General features: G+C 36.3%; 1 protein-coding gene and 1 pseudogene across 3 annotated transcripts in view; both read left to right on the top strand.

Annotated features, from left to right (window-relative positions):
• The window catches only part of OR2L13 (olfactory receptor family 2 subfamily L member 13), a 163,987-nt gene that overhangs the window by 40,149 nt on the left and 102,059 nt on the right, over nt 1-21,779 (top strand). The window lies entirely within an intron of this gene.
• OR2L1P (olfactory receptor family 2 subfamily L member 1 pseudogene) lies at nt 12,942-13,866 on the top strand (annotated as a pseudogene). The gene has a single exon (NR_002145.1). The product of NR_002145.1 is annotated as an olfactory receptor family 2 subfamily L member 1 pseudogene (transcript).

A 21,779-nucleotide genomic window follows, 5' to 3' on the forward strand; every position in this document is an offset into this window, starting at 1 on the left:
GCATGATTTGTGGGAAAATGAAATCTTTTCTATATTAAATCTCTTGATTCATTAATGAAACATATTTTACTACATATATATCTACTTATGAAGAGCAGAATCCCATCCATATCTAGGCAATAGTCATGGGAATGATTCCTGTAGATACTTTTTTTTAGACACCGTCTTACTGTGTTGCCAAGGCTGGTCTCAAACACCTCAGTGCAAGTCATGCTAAAACTATTCTCATAAAGTGAAGAAAACTAAATTGCTGGGTTTTTAGCCAAAAGCATAAACTTTTAGTAGAAGCATACACTAAGCATGAACCAGCTCGCCCGATAGCCTACTTCCGTATGACTGCTTACTGCTTAAAAGTCAGGTAGCCCTTCTCACAGGGTCCTAACTACCGTTAATTGTTTCTTTAGATATCATCTTTAATTTTAGGAAACCTCAAGTTTTCTATTTAAAATGTTTTCCGGATCCTGAATTCTAGTGGATCCACTGACGCAGGGGGTCTGTGGAGCTTGTCTGAGAAACTGACTCAGTGCAGGATGCAGCATCTTCATCTCGCTGTCTAGTGACTCCATCACTCACTTCTCGACCAATCAGCAGTCCCCACACTTCAGCTCATCACCCGTCCAGACTCCTTAAAAACGTCATCTCCAAGTCTCTCCAGAAGGCTGATATGAGGCTTCCTTTCTTTTCTTTCTTCAGAGCGATGAAGCCAGCTGGACTTCCTGGGTCGGGTGGGGACTTAGGAAAATTTTGTGTCTTACAAGAGGATTATAAATGTACCAATCAGCACTCTGTAAAAATGCACCAATCTTGCTGCTGCTCAGTCTTCGGGTCCGCACCACCTTTAAGAGCTGTAGCAATCACCGCGAGGGTCCCAAGTCAGTGAGACCACGAACCCACCGGAAGGAACAAACTCCAGACATACTTCAGCTGACATATGATTATTAAACTCCTTCTCTGCTGCAACTCCCACTGTTTTGATGTTTTGGTCTGCTACCACTCAATGGGTAATTGAACCCGTGGGCGTGTAACAATCCTCCTCCCTTGGTCTCCCCATAGGTGGAATTACAGGCCTGTGCCACCGTGCCCTGCTCTTTAACAAAAGATTTGGCATAATGGTTATCACTTGAATCTTGGATCTTTGGGACATTTGTATTTGGGCTTCTTTTTAAGTAAATGTCATTATGCATTTCATGTGCCTGCAAAGGACATGAAGCAACTATGTTGTTTAATGAATAATTCAAATGGACTGAACACAGACATTAAAAAATTTAAAATAAACAGGTCACTTTTATTTACATTCCTTGCTCTCATTTCTTCCTTCAGTATAAACCAAGTTGTGGCTACTCTATGCTTAGTGGTTTCTACTGAGGAAGTGTGAAATGTTCAATTCCCACTTCCAGAGCATTCTCAGGGAAAGCAGGGGTCTTTCAGGATCCCCTCCTCCTCTGGGCTTCCTTGTGTTGCGTAGGAGCTCTAAGGGACTGCCACAGTGCTTCTCTGACACAGGCCACTCGGACCTGTCTACTCTCCTGGGCACCCTGCCACAGTCTTGGTGGTCCCCTGAAGATGATTCTGTCCTGAGATCCAGACTGCAGGCTTCCTTTGTTTCATATGCCCAAGTCCATGTTAGTTTCTGTCTCATGTCCCCCACATGTGTTTACAGGATCCCAGTGGGTAGTCTTGAGTCATGACCTATAAAGTCTTTCTTTCATACAGAAATCCTCTCAAATCACCTTTTCCCACATCAAATAAGGATTCTTCCTTCCTTATTCAGCACAAATGTGTTTTGTCTACTAAAGAAGATATAAAAACAGTGTACAATGTGCACTAAATGTGGCATCTTCTTTTATATTATTATACTTTAAGTTCTAGGGTACATGTGCATAACGTGCAGGTTTGTTACACATGTATACATGTGCCATGTGGTTTGCTGCACCCATCAACTTGTCATTTACATTAGGTATTTCTCCTAATGCTATCCCTCCCTCAGGCCACCACCCCCCAAAAGGCCCCAGTGTGTGATGTTCCCCTCCCTGTGTTCATGTGTTCTCATTGTTCAACTCCCAGTTATGAGTGAGAATATGTGGTGTTTGGTTTTCTGTCCTTGTGATATTTTGCTGAGAATGATGGTTTCCAGCTTCGTCCATGTCCCTGCAAAGGACATGAACTCATCCTTTTTTATAGCTGTATAGTATTTCATGGTGTATATGTGCCACATTTTTTTTATCCAGTCTATTATTGATGGACATTTGGGTTGGTTCAAAGTCTTTGCTATTGTGAATAGTGCTGCAAGAAACATATGTATGCATGTGTCTTCAGCTTGACCTCCGTGGGCTGCACCCACTGTCCAGCCTGTCCCAATGAGATGAACCAGGTACCTCAGTTGGAAATCCAGAAATCACTTGTCTTCTCTGTTGGTCCCGCTGGGAGATGTAGACTGGCTGTGTTCATATTTGGCCATCTTGGAAACGACTCCTAGATGTGGCATCTACTGTTATGTTCAAAGGCATGGTTTAAAAGGTAAAGAAATTCTTTAGATTTTCAAATGCAAGAATATTGAAACAGTTGTGTTTGATTTTCAGGAAATTTTCTTTGCTACCTACCCTGATTAGATCATTATATAACATACACTTGTATAAAAACATCAAATTGTAACCCATAAATTCATACAATAACAGTGTATCAACTAAATAAATATTTCTTAAAAACATTTATAAAATTCCAAATATATAAAATGGACTAATGTTACTTTTTCAAGATAGAAGGCATAATTAATTTACTGGAAACCATGGAAAATTTGAGTACATTTAAGATACTCTTTGGCATAAAAATTTAATTACTAAATATACCCTAGATAGTATTATACCACAATCAATAGTTGCATCATTTTTATCATCAATTTTAATAACAGAAAATTGTTTTAAAATTTAATGGGCATTTCCAGAATAAAAGAAACAATATAAACATATACTTAAAATATGTTAAAGATAACTCCAATATGTGATATTTTAATACCTTCTACTTATGTGTTTTAAGTAAATTAACATAGTTCCACTTTTATGTTCTAAAACTTACTGCCAGTATAAACTAAATTGGGAAAGAAATTAATATATACAGAGATATCATTGGTATGAATGCAGTGAATAACAACATATAAAATGTAGGATTTCATAAACTATTAGAGACACAAATGCATTAGTAAAACCTGAATAAACATAATTGTTTCTTTTCCCAGTGAGTTTACCTTTGACGTGACTTGAAACATCTAAATACATTATCATAACTCATTTCTAAACGTTGGACTAAGGCCATCCTATGTTATTAGTGATTCAGCCTAGAATGTCCAAACTCTCAGTGGACATTCCCCGGTGAATCCTAGCAAAACAGTCATTAAACTTGTTCTTCAGGTAAAGAAACACCGGAATCATGGTTGCTACTGAATCACCATGAAGCTCTCTAAAATCTCAAGTGTAGGGATGAAAATGAATACATACCTTTCTTTAAAAAGCATTCAGAGATCTTGCTCAGAAAAATGACTGTTCATATGATGCCTGTACGACTCCTCACAGCTAACCAAGGCAGTGTGTGTTTGAAATTGAGGAGATAATAAAAGGTACTAATTATATTTGTATTTTAAAATTTTTATTGATCACAGGGAAGAAGGGACTCTGGCAACTGCTTAAGAGAACTTTGTTTCAGAAATAGAATTGAAGTCTGAGCAATAGTGACTGTACTTTCTGTTAACAAAATTCAGCAGAAATCCTGGAGTATAGAATGCAGACAACCAACAGTGGTTTTGCTGCTAACTCATAAATGTGTTTTCTGGATGGGAAGCTAAATGATGTTCATGGAAGAGATGGGGCTAAATTACATTAGAATATGCTTTTATGGGCTCAAGTCAAATTAATGAATCCACATATAATAATCCAGTCTTTCTAGTAAAATACCTGAAAGTACTAGTGTTGTTTTTGCGTAAAAATATTAAAATGACATGAAGGTAAAGGCAAAATGAGAATGGTTAAAATTACCATCTGTAAAGCAATAATATATATTTTTTAAAATAAAGGACCCTCTTCTGAAAATAAATAATGCAGGTAACCATATGATTAGTAGCTGTGATATGGTTATCCAGATTTTGTTTTTACATCCAATTTGTGCAAAATTATAGTGCTTTGTGCTTTTAATTTTTATATTGTGTTTATTTTTTCTTCAAGACACAATGTAAACTTCCAGTGAAATAATAGAAATATCTGCTTTAACAACCATGCAGAGTTTTTGTGAGAAGCAAATGAGCATAGTATGTGGAAACAATGTGAAGGCTGTATTATTCTACAGTCATAGCGGATAACAAGTGTGTGAGTGTAAGTGATAGTGATTATTTTGATGTTGAGGGCACTGATAATGAGAAAGATGCTTAAACTTGCAGCTTCTCTTCAATGATACCCTCAGTCAAGTAATACATGTTCACTATGTCACAGACTGCTCATAATAACAATTTTTTTTTTTTTTTTGAGACGGAGTCTCGCTCTGTCGCCCAGGCTGGAGTGCAGTGGTGTGATCTCAGCTCACAGCAAGCTCCGCCTCCCGGGTTCACGCCATTCTCCTGCCTCAGCCTCCCGAGTAGCTGGGACTGCAGGCTCCCGCCACCACGCCCGGCTAATGTTTTGTATTTTTAGTAGAGACGGGGTTTCACCGTGTTAGCCAGGATGGTCTCAATCTCCTGACCTCGTGATCCATCCGCCTCGGCCTCCCAAAGTGCTGGGATTACAAGCGTGAGCCACCGCGCCTGGCCCATAATAACAATTTTAAGTAGAGCAGCCTTATTTTGTAATGAATAATAATTTTTCTTTGAAAATAGTTTTGATAAAACTGAGGACAGTGTAGGTTTCATAAATCTCTGAATTAGTGGAAAACTGCAGTATCTGGACTCAAGAGGACCATCCTCCTTGGTTCCCAAGTCTATCACTAGGTCATTGCACAGTCATGAATAACTCTCTTCAAATCCTTGTGATTCAGTTACTCTTTCTGATAATGAGAATATAGTTGAAAAATCTTTGTCTTCTATGAATATATGAATCACTACAATTTGGTTATTTTTATTATCTCATTTTCAACTCTAAATTGAAGGATAGGAAAAAGAGATCTATGCAATGCAATGATGCATTCTGACTTTAAAAGATAGTGATATGTAATTCATTTGAAACGTGGGCACTGTTTGGAGAATTTTAATTATTATGCTGAATATGTAGATCCTCAACTTGATTATGTAGTATATTAAATGTGTATTTTTTAGTAAGTGAATTCTTCCAGTAGGGAAACTTTTATATTGGGAACAAGACAGAAATTGCATTTCTTTTAGAGTTTCTGAGAAACCATTTTTCTATAAAAATGTATGGTTGTTGCTGGATCAAGTGAAAGCACAGTAAAACCAGGTGATACGAGGAAATAGAAGAAGTTGAAATGATTAAATTTTAATCATTAAAATAACCTTATTTGTGATTTAAAAATTTTTATTATTTCACAGTTATTTACTATCTATAATGATTTTTTTATTTTAATAAATTTAACCTCTTATATTTTTGTTTTGGGTAATTAAAGTGAGCCAGCCTTATTTCAGACTTACTGCCTAAAAATATTTGAAGGATAAAATAGACCACACATTTTAAAGAAGTTTATGTAAATGTTTATTTTTATATATAATGTTTATTTATATGTTTGCATAAATATGTATATGTGTATATCAACTTATATGTGTATGTGTTTGTTTGTGTGTATATATATGCATATGTGTATGTGTGTTTGTGTGTAATCTGGATAAGTCCACTTAAAATCTCTGAATCTCAATTTCATCATCTATAAAACGTCGTGGTGATGTCCACGTGAAGAGTTTGTTATTAGGATTAAATCTAATGGAATTATGGAACAAATCCTGACATATTGCAAGTGCCAGTGTGTGGAGACAGTCAGTAAAAGTTCATGCCATTATCCTTCCTTTCATGCCAGACGTCGCCCGGGTTGAATGTTTGGTTTTCCTACTCACTATGAAACCATCATCAGAATTTTTTCTGCTTGCTTTTTCTCCAGTGTACAACATCATTAATGCTGACACCTAGATATATACATTTTATGAGAATTACAAAAATAAAAGCAAGTGTATATGTTTTTAAATGGGCTTAAAATACTTATAGCTATTTTGGTGGATAAAAAACTAAGGGACAGAAGTAACTCATTTGGATTTATTTTTATCTAAGAAAAAAATGTCCTTAAATTACTTAGACAGATATATAATGGCTGAGACTGCTTCCTTGTTAGTGACAGGGCTCTAATTTTATTTAAATAATGTAATATGATAGAATTAGAACCGTGGAACGTGAATAATCAAAGAGACACTACATTGGTGTTCAAGAGATATTGTAACATCACAGAACATATCTCCTGCCACTCACGACTTGCAAAGTCCAATTAACGAGAACAAGGTCTGGTAGAAAGAAAGTGACTTTTTCTTCCAAGCTTAGCTGAGGGGAAGCAGGACAGGTGTCTGCCTTATTGGGAAGTGCTTCCCCTTTCGGGGCAGTAGGCAGGGTCTTTTAATGGGGTCTTGGCGTGAATGACATGCAGGGAGTGAGGAGATGGGGGGTCCAGTGATTTTCTTCTGATGTCTTTTCTACCCGGTGGTCTGGCTGGCACCATCGCAGGCAGAGCTGTGTTGTAAATTGAGGCAATCTCCTAGTGGGAGGGAGTTTTGAGGGTGCCTGATTTGCTTCAAGGTTCCGTCTCTAGAACTTCTAAGTAAACACAAAGTCATATAAACTTGCCTTGTAGAACGCGTCTGGTGGAGACAGTAAAGGATATATTTTTATTCCTAACCAGTTAAGTAGGAGGTGGGGGGAGGAGGAGAAAATAAGTCATTATTATTATTATTATTATTATTATTTTTAAATGAGGTAGTCAGTTAAAACGTGGCATTAAATATGAGATCTGATGTGCCATTTAGGATTCTGTCCTATGTTACATTTTCTCTTTTTAAAGTTAGGACTATAACTATCTCATGGAAAGTTGATCATAGACTGCCCTGTATAAAATACAAATGATAGAAATGTTTGAAATGTTAATTGTGTTAGTAATTTCAAACAGTATATATTCTACTTGCCAATAACTAAACTACTAATATAAATTACATACTATTGCATCACAATTAATGCTGATCTTGTACTGTTTCCAAATGACATATGTGAAAATAATTTGTTCTTCTGAATTGTCCTTCACAAATTACCAGAGGTCATAAAATAATTGGAAATAATTTGCTCTGTAGAGGCTGAGAAACTTGCCAGAATTTTCTTAAAATGTATTTGGGAATCCAAATATGGAATAATTTCAGTACATTTTAATGTTTTTATGAGGATAAATATGCATAAGGTAAACTGCACCATTTTAACTATTTTAAGTGTGGAATTCGGTGGCACTAAGTACATTTATGTTGTTGTGCAACCATCCCCACCATGCATCTCCAGAACAGTTTCATTGTCTCCAACTAAAATTTTGTTCCCTACACAATTATTCTCCCTGTCTCCCTTCTGCTATCCCCTGGGTTCCAGCATTCGACTTTCTGTCTCTATGAATTTGACTACTCTGGGTACTTCATGTAGGTGAATTCATACAATATTTGCCTCTTCATGGCTTATTTCACTGAGCATAATGTATTCAAGATTTATCTATGTTGTAGCATGTGTCAAAACTTCATTCACTTTTACAACTGAATATGTACTTACTACATTATTTTTTACTCTTTTTTTTAATACTTTAAGTTCTAGGGTACATGTGCACAATGTGCAGGTTAGTTACATATGTATACATGTGCCATGTTGGTGTGCTGCACCCATCAACTCATCATTTAACATTAGGTATATCTCCTAATGCCATCCCTCCCTCCTTCCCCTACCCCCTACCCCACAACAGGCCCCGGTGTGTGATGTTCCCCTTCCTGTGTCCATGTGTTCTCATTGTTCAATTCCCACCTATGGGTGAGAACATGCGGTGTTTGGTTTTTTTGTCCTTGCAATAGTTTGCTGAGAATGATGGTTTCCAGCTTCATCCATGTCCCTACAAAGGGCATGAACTCATCACTTTTATGGCTGCATAGTATTCCATGGTGTATATGTGCCACATTTTCTTAATCCATCCTATTATTGTTGGACATTTGGATTGGTTCCAAGTCTTTGCTACTGTGAATAGTGCCACAATAAACATACGTGTGCATGTGTCTTTATAGTAGCATGATTTATAATCCTTTGGTTATATACGCAGTAATGGGATTGCTGGGTCAAATGGTATTTCTAGTTCTAGACCCCTGAGGAATCGCCACACTGACTTCCACAATGGTTGAACTAGTTTACAGTCCCACCAACAGTGTAAAAATGTTTCTATTTCTCCACATCCTCTCCAGCACCTGTTGTTTCCTGACTTTTTAATGATCGCCATTCTAACTGGTGTGAGATGGTATCCCATTGTGGTTTTGATTTGCATTTCTCTGATGGACAGTGATGATAAGCATTTTTTCATGTGTCTGTTGGCAGCATAAATGTCTTCTTTTGAGAAGTGTCTGTTCATATCTTTCACCCACTTTTTGATGGGGTTGTTTGTTTTTTCTTGTAAATTAGTTTGAGTTCATTGTAGATTCTGGATATTAGCCCTTTGTCAGATGAGTAGATTGCAAAAAATTTCTCCCATTCCGTAAGTTGCCTGTTCACTCTGATGGTAGTTTCTTTTGCTGTGCAGAAGCTCTTTAGTTTAATTAGATCCCATTTGTCAATTTTGGCTTTTGTTGCCATTGCTTTTGGTGTTTTAGACATGAAGTCCTTGCCAATGCCTATGTGTCCTGAATGGTATTGCCTAGGTTTTCTTCTAGAGTTTTTATGGTTTTAAGTCTGACATTTAAGTCTTTAATCCATCTTGAATTAATTTTTGTATAAGGTGTAAGGAAGGGATCCAGCTTCAGCTTTCTACATATGGCTAGCCAGTTTTCCCCGCACCATTTATTAAATAGGGAATCCTTTCCCCATTGCTTGTTTTTGTCAGGTTTGTCAAAGATCAGATGGTTGTAGATATGCGGCATTATTTCTGTGGGCTCTGTTCTGTTCCATTGGTCTATATCTCTGTTTCGGTACCAGTACCATGCTGTTTTGGTTACTGTAGCCTTGTAGTATAGTTTGAAGTCAGGTAGTGTGATGCCTCCAGCTTTGTTCTTTTGGCTTAGGATTGACTTGGCAATGAGGACTCTTTTTTGGTTCCATATGAACTTTAAAGTAGTTTTTTCCAATTCTGTGAAGAAAGTCATTGGTAGCTTGATGGGGATGGCATTGGATCTATAAATTACCTTGGGGGTTATGGCCATTTTCACGATATTGATTCTTCCTACCCATGAGCATGGAATGTTCTTCCATTTGTTTGTATCCTCTTTCATTTCATTGAGCAGTGGTTTGTTGTTCTCCTTGTAGAGGTCCTTCACGTCCGTTGTAAGTTGTATTCCTACGTATTTTATTCTCATTGAATCTTTAAGTAACTTTGGATATTATTGACATCTTAACAGTGTTAAGCCTTCTAATCTATAAATACAGGATATATTTCCATTTATTTGTGTCTTCTTTAATTGCTGTAATCAACATTTTGTCATTTTTCAGTGTATAAGCCTTTTACCTTCTTGGTTATGTTTATTCCTAAGTGTTTCATTTTTTTTGATACTATTGTAAATAAAATCACAATCTCTTTCAGATTGTTTGTTGTTAGTGTATAGCCACTTGAAGCCTAGGCTCAAAACAGACACAGTTTTGTTTCTGTCACATTCAATGGGTCACAGCAAATTGTTAGTATATAGAAGTCAATAGCTTTTGACTATTGTTGCATGCTGCAATTTTGCTTATTTTGTTAATTATTTGTAACAGTTTTTAGTGTGTAAAATCCTATGGCTTTCTACATATATAGTTATGTCATATGCAAATAGAAATTATCCTGCTTCCTTTCTTTTAATTAAGATAACTTTTTTTCTTCTTTTGTTCTATTGCTTTGGCTGAACTTCCAATAATATGTTGAATAGATGCAGTGAAATTGGACATTTGTGTCTTGTTCCAAATCCTAGAGTAAAAATTGTCATTCTCATTATTATCATGAAGTTGTGGGTTAAATTCTTAACCGTGATAGAATTTTTACATCACTTTAATGTTTTATTCAAGTAATGCATAGACATGGTGTCCACAGTCCGCAGGCTAAAATATTCGACCCATAACAAACTCTTCCTGACCCCAAAGATAAGGACTTCAAAATTTCTTACCAGTCTTGCCCTGTTTTTGCCCATGTATTTTCAAACAATATGCTTATCTGCTAATGCTTGATTTAAGTATCTCAAATACCAGCCCTTGACTCATGACACAGGCCACTGTCACTAGTTACCTGCTCCCCCCAGCATCACTACCCCCAAACTCATTACCCTTCTCCCACTTTGTCCACATAAATACATTCCAATTTATGTCTGCAGCAAGGGGTTGACAACATCATCTCATCTGATAGAATCTATTGATTAAATACAAAAAATATATATTCTTGTAAAACCTGATGGTAATACATACATGCATGTATTTCTTCTGATTATTATTACTACTATTTCTCTCAAAAACTTAATATTTTATCTCTAGATAATTAAAATTTTTAGAAGTGTTTTCAAGGAGACACAATTTTCATGAAATTTTTTCTAGGAAAATATTTCTCACTTTGTGATTTAACATGCCATTTGAGTATGGTGGCTAATATATTTCAGTTCTGAGAATTTTTTTTTTACAATATTGAGTTTATTATTATTTGCTATGTGCATTTCTGGGAATGCCTGTAAGTATATGTTGGTCCTGTTATATTAATTTTCTAATATTTCTCTCTCTTCTAATTTTCAATACTTTTAGGTTGTTTTCTTTTTTCCTTCTGATAGAATTTTCCCAATTTGTCTTTTGAAATTTTCATTTAAATTTTATCAATTATTGTATTTTTAATTTCCAAGAGTCATTTATCGTTACCTGTCACATCCTTTTACATAGATAATGATATTTATTTTGTGGATTTCATAACATATCATACATATTTTCCTTCCTAAAGATAGGAATTCTTATTTTTAAAAAATCATTCTTTTTGCAGGTTTCTGATCATTTTAATCAGGGTATATATACATGTGTATTGATGTTTAAGTGAGTGTACATCTTTGTGTGTGTGTATAGATGTGTGTTTGCACACTGTGTGGATCTTACTCTTTCACATTGTTACACTTCCTCAAAGGTCTGCTGACCTTTGGCTCTAAAATAATATTTAAGCCTAAAGACTTCAGTCCTTTTAGGCATTCAGTGCAAAGTCGTCCACTGATGTCTTCTATCTGGAGAAGAATGCTCGAACCACCTATACCCAGGAAACTGTCAAGTTGCTGCTTCCTTTTTTCCATTTAAGTGAATGTTCATTTCTCCAAACCCCTTCTTTTGAAGGATCATAAAGTAATTTATTGTTTTTGCTTCCCTAATGCTTAGATTACATTATACTTTATGGATCCTCCTAAATAATTGATAAATATTCTTATGATCCTTTCATAAGACTTGAAGGATCCACAAAGTCTATGTAATCTAAGCATTAGGGGAGCAAAGATACAGAATACACATTCTATTGGGGAGAGCGTGAACAGAGACATGGAAGGTAAAATGAACTTGGCATATAGATATTCAGATGGGGGTCTGCACTAACTTAAGAATTCTGAAATTGGATGAGAAGGCAAAAGAGAATGGATGGTGGTAGACATTAAAAATGAACTGTATGAATTACATTTCATGAAAAAGGTACTTGAAATAAGGATGTATTCTACATTTCTAAATAGAAGAACCAAATAATGATGTTTAACTAATGAAAGTTTGACTTGGAATTATTAGGCAAAGACAATTCAAGAAGGAAATATAAGTTACTCCAAATGAGCCATAGGCTGCTGCAGTTTTAAAGAATAAATGTAGAAAAAAATCATCCTGAAAAAGTAGTGCTAAATTGTTCATAATATGGATCCATAACATATGCATAAAATTTACTGTTGCATGCATATGTTTTAAGAATAACAAATGATCTTGATGACATCTGAGTTTGTGTTGGGCAGCAAACATTTGTATCCTACTGAAGTTTTAAGAGAAATGTTTTTTCCTATAAATGTATATATTTCTTATTAAAAATTGTGGTTATAAATATTTCTCTCACAAAATATAATTTCTGGGTGACAAAATAAGATATTTTTCTAAATAGGAAAGATTACTTCATCATTTAAGAGTTGTAAAATTGTATAAATAATTCATAGTCTAACTAAACTAAGGACTTTTTAAAAACTATTGGCTTACTGTTTTATAACTAGTCCCCCTTATCCACTGCTTTGCTTTTTGTGGTTTCTCCTGAAATCAACTGTCATCTGAGATTGCATGGAAAATTCCACAAATGAGCACTTCATAAATTTTAAATTTGTTTTCAGTCATAGCCCAATGTTGCATTACCGTGCCTACATTGTTCCCCTCACTTTATCTCATCACGTAGACATTTTATCTTCCCCTGAAGCATTTTATCATCAGAAGAAAAATAAACACCGTTCAATAAGATATTTTGAGAGAAAGAAAAAAACTGCATTCACACAACTTTTATTACAGTATATAATTATAATTGTTTGGTTTTCTTTTTAGTTATTTTTGTTAATCTCTTCCTTGCCTAATTTATAAATTAAACTTTATAATATATATTTATTGATACAAAAATAGTGTATATAGGGTTCAGTGTAAACCCCAATTTCAGGCATTCACTGGCGGGCTTGAAATGCATCCCCTGCAGATAAGGGGGAACTACTGTACTTCACTTACCCTTGTGTCTCCCTTCAGGAAGGATCATATGAATGCTCCATGGAAAATTACAATCAAACATCAACTGCTTTCATCTTGTTGGGATTGTCGCCACCACCAAAAATTGGCCATTTCATCTTCATTCTCATTAATTTCGTTTTCCTAATGGCTCTAATTGGAAACCTATCCATGATTCTTCTCATCTTCTTGGACATCCATCTCCACACACCCATGTATTTCCTACTTAGTCAGCTCTCCCTCATTGACCTAAATTATATTTCCACCATTGTTCCTAAGATGGTTTATGATTTTTCTGTATGGAAACAAGTCTATCTCCTTCACTGGGTGTGGGATTCAGAGTTTCTTCTTCCTGACTTTAGCAGGTGCAGAAGCGCTGCTCCTGACATCAATGGCCTATGATCGTTATGTGGCTATTTGCTTTCCTCTCCACTATCCCATCCGTATGAGAAAAAGAGTGTGTGCACTGATGATAACAGGATCTTGGATGATAGGCTCCATCAACTCTTGTGCTCACACGGTATATGCACTCCGTATCCCATATTGCAAGTCCAGAGCCATCAATCATTTTTTCTGTGATGTTCCAGCTATGTTGACCCTAGCCTGCACGGATACCTGGGTCTATGAGTGCACGGTGTTTTTGAGCACCACCATTTTTCTTGTGTTTCCCTTCATTTGTATTGCATGTTCCTATGGCCGGATTCTCCTTGCTGTCTACCACATGCACTCTGCAGAAGGGAGGAAGAAGGCCTATTCGACCTGCAGCACCCACCTCACTGTAGTGACTTTCTACTATGCACCCTTTGCTTATACCTATCTACGCCCAAGATCCCTGCGATCTCCGACAGAGGACAAGGTTCTGGCTGTCTTCTACACCATCCTCACTCCAATGCTCAACCCCATCATCTACAGCCTGAGAAACAAGGAGGTGATGGGGGCCCTGACACGAGTGATTCAGAAAATCTTTTCAGTGAAAATATAGACATACGTTCTGCCTTAGAGTCAAAGCGCTAGGTTCATATCAACTCAGCAGTGTACGGCGGTTAAGGAAAATATTATTACATGCCCAGTATGTCAAACGGAAATTAATCTAAAAGATTTGTATTTTAATTTAGTCTGGCATTTCAATTGCATATTCTAAGACACCTATTTTGGTTTTGTATTTGTTTCTTTTTATCAAAAGATAGATCGTATATTCATTTTTTTCCTAAAGTAGTGATCTATTAAAAGTTTACCTCAGGATAAATAATTATGTCTGGGGAGCAGTCTACTTGGCTTTAGATAGACAAGAGTTTCCCTATAAGAGGTTCTATACAGCTACCTTCTGTAGAACCTCTTAGACTGTAGTTGACTTAGACTCAGTTGGGTGTCAAGTAGGTTATTTAAAACATTTGCAGTCACATCACAACACACTCAATGTTTCCCTCGTGAGTAGCCACTGGTATTCTCGTGCAAGACATTCTCTTCTGCACAATTTTATTTCTACTTACTCTTGTCATAAATCAACGGGTCTATTTAGCATGACTTGGGATCAGCTCCTCTGCTCCACTATTTTTATACATGCTTAGGCATGTGCCCAAAAGGATCAACGTTATTTTCATAAAAGTTATCCGCTTAGGTCCTTTCTCTGAGTGAAAGGCCATTGCTTTCCAGAAGAGCCCATTCCTGAGAAACTCTTTAATCTCTGAGGAGAGGAGGCAAGAAGGAAGGTAGAATGAGCAAATGAGAAAAGCCCCGAATTATCCAAGTGACAGCAGTGGTGAGTGACTGATAGGAAGTTGGTCCTTGAACAACATAGATCTGAACTGTACAGGTCCACTTACATGTGGTTTTTTTTCTGCCTCTGCCTCTCCTGAGACAGCAAGACCAACCTCTCCTCCTCTTCCTACTACTCAGCCTACTCAATGTAAAGGCAACATAGATGAAGATCTTCATGACAAACCACATTCACTAAATAAGTAGTAAATATGTTTTCTCTTTCTGATGATTTTCTTCATAAGATTTTCTTTTTCTAGCTTACTCTACTGTAAGAATACAGTATATAATACATATAAGATACAAAGTGTGAGTTAATTATTTATGTTATTTTTTAAGGCTTCCTGTCAACAGTAGGCTATCATTAGTTATGTTATGGGGGGAGTTTGAAGTTATATGCAGATATGTTTTATTTCAACGTCTATTTTAGGTATGAGAGTACATGTGGATATTTTTACGTGGGAATATTGCATGTTGCTTAGAGTTAGAGTGTGGATCCTGTCACCTGGTAGTGAACATAGTACCCAATCAATAGTTTTTAATCCCATCCCCTCCCTCTAGCAGGGCACAGTGTCTGCTGTCACCATATTTATGTCCATGTGTGGGCCAATGCTTAGTTCCCACTTACAAGTGAGAACATTCTGTATTTGGTTTGTTCTTCCTCAGTCAATTTGCTTAGGATTATGGCCCCCAGCTCTATCCATTATCACTTGCAAACAGTATGCTCTTACTGTTTTTTATAGCTGTGTAGTGTTTCATGGTGTATATGTAGCATATTTTCTTATTCCAATTCACTATTGATGGGCACCTAGGTTGATTGTAGGTCTTTGCTGTTGTGAATAGTGCAGCAATGAGCAATGAATGCATGTGACTTTTTGGTAGAATGATTTTGTGTGTGTGTGTGTGTATACAGAGCACTGGAATTTCTAGGTCAAATGGTATCTCTAAGTATTTTGAGAACTCTTCAGACTGCTTTCCATAGTGGCTGGGCTAATTTACATTCCCACCAACAGTGTATAAGAATTCCCTTTTCTCTGCAGCTTCACCAGCATCTGGTGTTTTTTTTGATTTTTTAATTATAGCCATAGTGACTGGTATAAAATGGTCTCTCATTGTGGCTCTGATTTGCATTTCTCTGATGATTGGTGATGCTGAGTAATTTTTCTTGTTTTTTGGCCACTTGTATGTCTTCTTCACAGATGTGTCTGTTCGTTGTTCATGTAACTTCTGCATTTTTAATGGGGTTAGTTTTTTGCTTGTTGATTTATTTAACTTCCCTACAGATTGTGGACATTTAATCTTTGTCAGATGCATACTGTGCAAATATTTTTTCCTATTCTGTAGGTTGGCTGTTTCCTCGTTGTTTTTTTTTTTTTTCTGTGCAGAAGCTCTTTTGTTTAATTAAGTGCCTCTTGTCAATTTTGTTTTGTTGCTATTGTTACTCCTCAGGTAGAGGAATAAGTGTGTAGGTTCTATCATGGATATTGAAATGTTTGCTCTCTGAGGCATGTCAAAAGTGAGTTCAGATATATAAAGAATGGTAAATGGAATCTAGACTTTCTGCTGAACCAGGAGTACCATGCCCCTCATTTATTTATTTACATCATCATTATAAGGGAGATATGGGATATGTAAAAAGTTTGTTGTATGCATGATACTTAGAGAAACAGATATGGGAGGTGAAAAAAGTAGATATGATTTAATCTTGATTCCTCAGCTAAGCCAACAAATTCCTGTGGTGCTATTTGGACAGACACTGAATGGAAAGAGACAGAGAGAGGGGGAGAGAGAGAGAGAGAGAGAGAGAGAGAGAGAGAGAGAGAGAGAGAGAGAAAGAAAGAGAAAGAAAGAGAGAGAGACCTTGTCATGAAAGAGTTTGTAAAACCAATGGACATGCATTGGTACCTGTGGGACCTAGTGATGGAGTGTGACTCAGACCTGTGTAGAAAGGCTGTCTCTTCATTTCATTAACGAACACAATGTGTGGCAGGGATGCAGGAATGTCTCTTATTCTCTTTGGCATCTTAAAGGTCCTGTATGTTTCAGATTTTGTGGCATGGAGCTTTCCTAGGGAGAATCCCAACCACAATTGATTCCCATTTGGTCTCAGAAGCTGAGAAAAACTGAGAGTGATTGGCCGGGCACGGTAGCTCAAGCCTGTAATCCCAGCACTTTGGGAGGCCGAGGCGGGCGGATCACAGGGTCAGGAGATCGAGACCATCCTGGCTAACACGGTGAAAACCCCGTCTCTACTAAAAATACAAAAAATTAGCCGGGCGTGGTGGCGGGCGCCTGTAGTCCCGGCTGCTTGAGAGGCTGAGGCAGGAGAATGGCGTGAACCCGGGAGGCGGAGCTTGCAGTGAGCTGATATCGCTCCACTGCACTCCAGCCGGGGCGACAGAGCGAGACTCCATCTCAAAAACAAACAAACAAAAAGAACTGGGAGTGATTATGTTACTATGACTGTAGCCTAACACTACAAGTCTTGGTTTCTCTTCTTTCTGTCCTTCAATCCAGACTGGCTCTCAGACACACACACAGAAATACTACATGATCTTACTTATATTTTGGGTCTAAAAATAAGTGGAATAGATAGAAACAGAGAGTAAAATGGTGGTTACTAGCAGTGGGGAGGGAGAGAAAGAGCGTAGGTCAAATGCTACAAACTTGAAGTTATGTAGGATGAGTAAGTCTAGATAGCTGATGAAGACTATGGTTAATACTATTGTATTATATATTGAAATTTTGCTAAGACAGTGGGTTTTAAGTGTTCTTAGTAAAAAAAATCATAACTATGGAACATGCTGTATAAGTTGAGTGTGGTAATCATTTCAATATGTATATGAATGTCAAACAACATGTTGTATATCTTTAATAAAATAAAACATTTTCTGGTACATCTTTAATAAAATCAACACTCAATCAGACTGACTTGAATTATTCCTGGAATTATCTAATTAAAATATATTTTGATGATCTCACTTTCCTTAGTATGGTATGTAATTCTCTCCATTGGCTAATTCCTTCCTTCATCTGACTCTACCTGGAACTTTATGTTCTCTTCATGTTAAATTGAATGCAGTTCTCTGAACAAGTTTTGAAAAGCCAGTCCTCATGACATTAGGTCCAATAGCTTTTATCTTTAATGCATTGTTCTCTATTCTCATAAAGTTCTTTCACTGCATGAATCCTCATCACTCCCTTTTCTCAGTGTAAACATCAGGTATCATCTACACAAGGAAGCATTCTGAATGTACTTGTTAAACTCTATCTTTCCCTTCCACTCTCATAGATCCCACTATTTCTAATAATAACATGTGTCATCAAGATGTATTGTAACAATCTCTGTTCTCTATGGCTCCACAGACTATTATCTGTTACCATCAGTGGCTTGCTCTTTTCCTCTTCACATGCCCAGATGTTGCACTTGAGTACCTGCTCTGCATTCAACCTATTCATAGCTCAAAGCATGCTTAGTTATTCTTAGCCCATTGCATTTTCACATAATAATTAGAGTCAGCCTGCAAAGTGTTTATAGAAAAAATTTTTGTGTTTCAGTGTGATTTTATACAATCTAGAGCATAATTAGTGGAATAACAAAATATTTTCTATATCAGATTTCTTGATTCATTAATGAAACATATTTTACTATACATATGTCTATTTATGAAGAGCAGAAACCTATCCACATCTCAGTCAATATTCATCGGAATGATTTATTTTATAATTCCTCTAGCATTTATTTTTTGTTTATTTATTTTTTTGAGACATCATGTCCTTCTGTTGCCCAGGCTGGTCCTTGTCACCAGGTCCTCACTTCCCTTAATTGCTTCTTTACATATCATCTTTAATTTTAGGAAACCTCAAGTTTTCTGTTTAAAATGTTTTCCAGATCCCGAATTACAATGGGTCCACTGACGCAGTGGGTCTGCAGAGCTTGTCTGAGAAACTGACTCAGTGCAGGATGCAGAGTCTTCATCTCCCTGTCTTATGACTTCACCACTCGCTTCTCCACCAATCAGCAATCCCCACATGTTAGCTCATCACTCATCCAGACTCCTTAAAAATGCCATCCCCAAGCATCTCCAGAAGGCTGATTTGAGGCATCCTTCCTCTTCCTCCTTCAGCTGACCTACGATTGTTAAACTCTTTCTCTTCTCAACTTCTACTGTTTTGGTGTTTTGGTCTGCTACCACTCCATGGGCAATTGAACCCTGTGGGCCTAAAACAATCCTCCTGCCTCAGTCTCCCCATAGGTGGAATGACAGGCCTGTGCCACTGCGCCCTGCTCTTTTACAAACATTTGACATAAATGCTTATCACCTGAATCTTGTATCTTTGGGACATAGAATGGGACTTCTTTTCCAAATTGGTAAATATGATTATGCATTTAAAGATCCATGTGATTTAATGAATAATTCAAATGCACTGAACACAGACATCTAAAAATGTAAAATAAAGAGCTCAGTTTTATTTACACTCTTTTTCTAAACTCTTCTTTCAGAATAAACCAAGTTGTGGCCTACTCTATGCTTGGTTTTGTGCTTTGTACTGTAGAAGTGTAAAATAGTCAATTTCTATGTCCAGAAAACTCTCAGGGAAAACTGGGTATTTCAGGAGTAAGTTGCTGACTTATATCCCCCATATTTGCATACATAACCCTTGTGGGTAGTTGTGAGGTACACCTAAACATCTTTCTTTTTTTTACAGAAATTCCCTTGAAGTCTGTCTTCCCACATCAAATAAGGATTCTTACCTCCTCTTTCAGCACAAATAGGTTTTGTCATCTGTCTTTTGAAGATGTGGAAACAGTTCCCTGGTTGCACTAGACATGGCACCTACTATTATGTTAATAGCCAAGGTTTTAAACTTGACAAAAAAAATTTTCAGCTTTTCAAATGCAGGAATATTGAAACATCTGTACATTCTGACTTTCAGGAAATTGTCATTTCCAAGAATGTACACCAACTACCCTGACTGGATCATTATACAGCATATACGTGCATTAATATATCAAATTGGCTGGTCTGAGTGCAGTGGTGTTTACAATTGATCACAACCAGTTACAGGTTTCTTGGTTCCTTTCCACTCCCACTGCTTCATCTGACTAGCCTATGCATATCAAAATAAATATAAATAAAAATACATATCAAAATGTGTCAAATAATTTATCTATTAAATCCATGTGGAGAAATTCAAATACTTTTAACATTCAAAAAAATTAAAATGAACTAATACCTTTTTTCCCATGTAGGTGGTATAATTTATTCATTTACTAGAAACAAGAAATTAGAGAACACTTAAAGCACTCTACTGAATAAAAATTTATTCAATTACTATTTTCTAAATATTAATAAAGCAGAGTAACATCATTTTATCATCTGATTTAATAGGAGAAAATCACTTTATAATTTAGTGAGCATTTCCAAATTAAAAGAAACAATTTGAATGTGTATAATACCTAAAATATGTTAGAAGATAACTCCCATGTATGCGATATTTTAATAATTTCTACTTATGTGTTTCTATTAAATTAACCTCATTCTATTTTAGTGGTTTAAATCTTACTGCCAATATAAACCAAACTGAGAGAGAAATTAGTGAATGCAGACACATTGTTACTGTGGATGCCTGAATAACAACATTCAAGCTATAGAGTTTCATGAAGTTTAGAAACAAAAAAAACTGAAATAATGTGAATAAATATATTTGTTTCTTTCTCCACTGAGTTTACCCTTGACATGCCTTGAAACATCTAAATACATTATCAGAACTCATTTCTGAACGTTGGACTAAGGCCATCCTCTGACATTAGTGACTTAGCCTACAATGTCCAAAGTTTCAGTGGACATTCCCTAGTGAATACCAGCAAAACAACTGTTAATCTCATTCTCCAGGTAAAAAGGACTGGATTCATGATTGCTACTGAATTCCCATGAAAGTCTCTGATATCTCATGTGTAGGGATGATGAATGAATATATACATTTCTTTAAAAAATATTCTTAATTCTTACTCAGAAAAATGACTTTGTTTCTATGATGACTACAGGACTGCCATCAGCTAAGCAAGGCATGAATGTTTGATAATGAGGAAATAATAAAGGTACTACTTATAATTGTATTTTAAAATTTTTATTGATCCCAGGGAAGAAGGGACTCTGGCAAGTGCTTAAGAGGACTTTGTTTCAGAAATAGAATTGAGGTGAATTTCAGCACTAGTGACTGTACTTTCTGTAACACGTCAGCAGAAATCTTGGAGTGTGAAATACAGGCAACAAAAAGTGGTTTTGCAGCTAATTCATAAGTGTGTTTTCTAGAGGGGAAGGGAGGTGATGATCAATGGAAGAGATAGGGATAAATTAGACTATGCTTTTATAGGATCCAGTGAAATTAACCCACATTCACAATAATTATTGTAGGGGGCAACATTTCCTCATTCCTACTTGGTTGGTGTTTTGTTTTGTTTTGTTTTTGTTTGATTTATTTTGTCCTGAATGATCAGTGATTATGTCATGCTCATTATAATCTTATTGCTGCTTCTCACTTTGTATTTTACCTTATATGAATCCAGCCTGTCTAATGAAATACCTAGAAAGTACTAGTGTTGTCTTTGCATAAAAACGTTAAAAGGGCATTAAAGTAAAGGCACAATGAGAATGGTTAAAATTACCAGTCTGTAGTGCAATGATACATTTTCTTAAAAGAAGGACCTTCTTCTGGAAATAAATAATGAAGGTAACTGCATGATTAGTAGCTGTGCTATGGTTATCCGGATTTTGTTTTTACACACAATTTGTGCCAAATTGTAGTGCTTTGTGCTTTTAATATTTACAATGTATTAATTTTTTCTTTTGGTACATATGGTAAAGTTTCAGTGAAATAATAGAAATATCTGCCTTAACAACCACGCAGAGTTTTTGTGAGAAGCAAATGAGCAGAGCATGTGGAAACAATGTGAAGCTTTATTATTCAACAGTCATAGCAGATAACAAGTGTGTGGATGTAAGTGATAGTGATTATCTTGATGATGAGGGCAAGGGTAATGAGGAAAATGCTGAAACTTGCAGCTTCTCTTCAGTGATACACCCAGTCAAGTAAGACACGTTCACTATCTCACAGACAGCT

The sequence above is a fragment of the Homo sapiens genome, chromosome 1 (genome assembly GCF_000001405.40).
Source record: "Homo sapiens chromosome 1, GRCh38.p14 Primary Assembly".
NCBI lineage: Eukaryota > Metazoa > Chordata > Mammalia > Primates > Hominidae > Homo > Homo sapiens.